Raw genomic sequence first — 4,846 nt, forward strand, 5'->3', positions numbered from 1 at the left:
ATTGAATGTTTATTATTTTATCCACTGAGATCTTAGAATTATTTGATATACAGAACTGTCACAGTAAAAACCTTTCTAATACATGCATTGGTACCAGAAGCAGGGTTTTGCCTGTAATATGTGGCTATGGCTTTGGGATCAGAAAGCAAGTAGCAAAACAATGACAGAGGTTGGAAAAATGGTGACCCATGTTATGTGGTAGCAAAACACTTGGTAAAATTGTCACCTGACAAAATTGGGAAGGCAAATAACATAGCTCATTAAATGATGAGAGGAGTAGGAAGTTTTGAGGCAGAATGTTGACAGTGTGAGCTGGTTGTTACTGTACTAAAAGAAAGGAATAGGTTCAGAAAAGAACTGTTTGGTTTCAAAGTAGAATAGAGAGGAAATAGAGAGAGGCCAAAGATTTTGGAACTTTCCAGGATGAAAAATCAAACTGTTTCTCATCTCCAACCAGTAAAAGAGAAAATTGAAAAGTTCTTTGAGTTTAAAAGCTTACTAAGGCTCAGCCTCTGGGGAAAGACTGAATCAAGCTTTTAAAAGATCATTGCAAGGATTAAAGAGGTAGCTATAGATTTTTTTCCCCAGTGGGACATAATGGACCTGACATATTGGAAGTCTGATATATTGCAGTAGCTATTAATAAGTATATTGCATGTCTCAAAACAAATTGTGGGTATAACTTGTCACATAGAGTTGTTGAGAATGAAATACAAAAAGTCAACAAAGTTTTTGAGTGAGGTATCTTGCGCAAAGCACCCTAGGCTGGCTTAAAAGAGATGTGACTATTAACAAGCTAAAAAGAAAAACAAAAACAAAAACAAAAAAAGACAAACTTGATTCTCCAACTTTCTACCCGTAGGAAGCAGGCTCAGAAAGCTCCCCAGCTGCCAAAAAGGTAGTAGGGTGACAAGGTTTGCCTGGGATTTTCCTGGTTTTAGCACAGAAAGCCCTGCAACCCAGGAAACTCTCAGTCCTGGACAAGTTGGGACAGTTGATCACCCTTCTAAGAGGGCATATTCTACAGTGCTATTTTTACGTAGCCAAGAAAGATATTGAAAACAGAGGGACATCCGTAGAGTACAGTCAAGAGTCATGGAGAACAATGGACTTGGGACTTATTCCCAGGAAGCAGAAATGAGGCTTAATTAAGGAACATTTCCTATCCCTTAGGTAGGGGGAGCCTGATAAGATTTCAGAATTGCTATGGGCCCCTGACTACTCACATCCTTCCTTGACCTACCTTGCTTAAGAGCAGTGGTTTCATTTGTCCTTCTCTGGTGTGCCAGAGAATTCTCAGGCCTCATTTGGAATTTCCCCAAAGATCTCTTATGAACTAAATGATTGGCTGAGACAACTTATAAAAATGGGTAGGTTTATTTTACCTCATTTGGTACACATTTGGTAACAGCATGCTGTTACCAAAGGTGACAGTTTTCTTTCTATGTGGCAATAGGGAAATTTGCTGGGGCATCTCAGGATAACAACCTAAAGCTGAAGGCCTGATCTCACTTTGTTCCCTTCGCATTTTCAATTCATGAAAGAGAGCATTTGATGAAGCTGTTTGGAGCAAATTGGTGTGAGTCATCTCTTTTTGCCTTGTTTGCACCAGCCATCTCGGAGGTGTCTGGACTGCTTCAGGTCCAGCCTATGTAGGTTTCTTCTCCCTTATGCACACCTCCTGCTATAATCTGATGTGGTTAGAGTGGGAAGCAGCTGACTCTGCCTTCCTAAGACGCTGAGAAAAACTGAGACAGAAAAAAGCATTCAGGATATAGGCATTCCTCAAAAGGTGAGTCTGTAGAGAGTCATAAGACTCTTTTAATCCATTCTGCAAAGTCTTAAAGAAAGGTATGGTGATGTGGAGATTTCATGTATCCTGGTGAGACTGAGAAGTACAGAAAGAGAGGGGCTAAAAAGGCCTTTTAGCTGTTCTATCATTATATGGGTAAAACCAATCAAGATGTGGTACAGACGATGCTGTGTGGTCACTAAATCTCATTTCCTTTTCTTTCTCCTAGGCACAAAGGAATATATGCTTCTCAGCTTCTTCTTCTTCTTTTCTTCTTCTTCTCCTCTTCTTCTTCTTGTTCTTGTTCTTCTTCTTCCTCTTCCTCTTCCCTTTCCCCTTCCCCTTCTGCTTCTCCTTCTTCTTATTCCTCTTCTTCCTCCTCTTCCTCCTCTTCTTCTCCTTCTTCTCCTTCTTCCTCTTCTTCTTCTTCTTCTTCTTCTTCTTCTTCTTCTTCTTCTTCTTCTTCTTCTTCTTCCTCTTCTTCTTCTTCTTGTTCTTCTCCTTCTCCTCCTTCTCCTTCTCCTTCTCCTTCTCCTTCTTCTTCTTTTGAGACAGTCTCACTCTGTCACACAGGCTGGAGTGCAGTGGCATGATCTCAGCTCAATGCAACCTCCACCTTTCAGGTTCAAGCGATTCTTGTGCCTCACCCTCCTGAGTAGCTGGAATTACAGGCACTTGCCGCCATGCTAATTTTTGTATTTTTAGTAAAGATGGGGTTTCACCATGTTGGCCAGGCTGGTCTCGAACTCCTGACCTCAAGTGATCCACCCGCCTTGGCCTCCCAGAGTGCTGGGATTACAGGTGTGAGACACTGTGCCCATCCCTCAGCTTCCTTTACAGTTAGTTTGGGGCCATGCTACCAGATTTTATTATATTGTATTTTATTTTTTCTGTCTTTTTTTTTTTGAGATGGGGTCTCACTGTGTTGCCCAGGCTGGAGTGCAATGGTGCAATCATGGCTCACTGCAGCCTTGGCCTGCTGGGCTCAAGTGATCCTCCCACTTCAGCCTCCTCAGTAGCTGGGAGGTGTGTGCCACCACATCTGGCTAATTCTTTTTATTATTGTTTTGTAGAGACGGGATCTTGCCATCTTGCCAGGCAAGATGCATAAAACAGAAAGAAAAGGTGCTTCCCAGAGCCTTGCAAGGTCCCCATGCAGGTCTGGAATTCCTGGGCTCAAGTGATCCTCCTGCCTCGACCTCCCAAAGTGTTGGGATTCCAGGTGTGAGCCACCATTCCTGGCCTTATGCTACCAGGCTTTAGACAATGGCTATAAAACCCCTGTGTCATTTTCCACCAGCTCTGTGTTCTCTCTCCCTCTTTCACAGCTACCTTCCATTAGAGCTACCTGCCAAATTTTGGATGGCAGCACCCCAAGATGAAAGGAGCTTGGATCCCCAAGTCATTATTTGGAGGAGAGCCTCTGCAAAGAACTGCCTGCTGTGCACTGGACTGTGAGGTAAAAGGAATGTAAACCTGTGTCTTATTAAACCATGGAGCTTTGGGGATTGTTTGTTATAGCAACCGGCACTAATTATCCTGACTAGTATAAAAGGCTAAGGAAATGAAAATAGAGACTCCACCAGACAGTTTTTCCTCTTAGCTTAAACTGAGCAACTAGTTTTAAAGTGTCATCACTTCACTGGCATTAGAATTTATCATCCTTGTGTAATTGATTGGCCTCTCAGTTCTTGATTTGAAGTTGGGTGGTAGAGAGAGGGAGGAGGTGCTAGGTTGAAGTTCATGTCGTTGAAATCCTCATTCAAAGTACCAAAATTGAGCAGCAGAGGTCAAGAACATAAAAATATTTATGTGTAAGAATCAAAACACAACAGTAACATGCCTAAGTTATTTTACTTTTCTGGATTTTAAGACAACTATTCATGTCCAGTCCCCAGGGGATCCCCCTCCTCATTCCAGTTACTATTCGTCATTCATTCCCAGAGCGCCCAATTACAAAGTATGATGTATTTATTTCTCTTATTGAAAATAAACATTAAACATGAAAAGTTAATACTGGACCTAAGAGCATGCTGGGAGTTGAAACGAGCTCTAAAGTCTTGCTGAGGCAAAGATTCTGACTGTGTCTTAAAGCCCTAATATGGTCCTTAGCAAGCAACAAAAATGAACCTGCTCCCAAAAGCATTGACCTGGAAGTGTGTCTTTGTTGCTTAAGTTATGATTACAACTTCCCAAGCTGGTTTTATTAATGAGCTCTAAATGGAAGTGTTTATCTCAGGAGGAAGTACTGTTTCTCCCTCTTGTCCCTGGTGACACGCTAAACATACTAATTGATATGAAGCTGATTTTTAGGAGACAGGAAAGCCCTGAGGCCTTTGTCACATTGACAATCATGGCTAGACTCATTACAGGGCCTATCAAATCAGGGCGGGAAACAGGCTACTCACACTTTGCGGCATCCCTGGAGTGTGGGCTTTGCTGTGCTTTGTCATTCAACATATGCTTGAGAAAGTGCTTCCCTCTTTTACTTGGCCATATTACCTGCATGGGGACCTTGCAAGGCTCTGGGAAGCACCTTTTCTTGCTGTTTTATGCCAAATTTTACATCACTGTATTATACTGCCTTCAGTTTCATCAGTCATTGGATGAAGAGGATTAGGCAATTACGTCTTCAAAAATGGGATAAACTGCAACGTAGATAAACGACAAATAATCTATCCTTAATGCATAAAGAGAATGTACAAATCAAGAAGAAAGAATCAAATTGACCATTTGAAAGACCAAAAAAAGAGCAGAACATGAAAATATGAAATACCAATGGCTAATAAATATTTTTTATTAAACAAATTAACTTTACTAGCAAGTAAAGAAAATAAATGAGATATAAATGTCACAAAGAGAAATAGCCCCTTATCTCTAATCAAATTGGAAAATATTTTACTTTTTATAGTAATATCTAGTGATATCCAGAGTGCAGAAAACAGGCATTTTCAAACACTGCTGGACATAGAGCGGAGTAAATCAGTGGAGTATTTAGAAATATTTATCCAAAGTCTTAAAAATTTGACCATCCAATTTCACTCTTAGGAATTT

General features: G+C 40.9%; 1 annotated feature.

Annotated features, from left to right (window-relative positions):
- Positions 3,957–4,504: an enhancer, noted in NCBI's record as "OCT4-NANOG hESC enhancer chr6:15855489-15856036 (GRCh37/hg19 assembly coordinates)". NCBI's record gives its function as "activates a minimal SCP1, AML or CMV promoter by ChIP-STARR-seq in primed H9 embryonic stem cells {active_cell/tissue: H9 hESC(primed)}" and the evidence as "EXISTENCE:reporter gene assay evidence [ECO:0000049][PMID:30033119]".

Source organism: Homo sapiens, chromosome 6, assembly GCF_000001405.40.
Source record: "Homo sapiens chromosome 6, GRCh38.p14 Primary Assembly".
In the NCBI taxonomy this organism is placed as follows: Eukaryota; Metazoa; Chordata; class Mammalia; order Primates; family Hominidae; genus Homo; species Homo sapiens.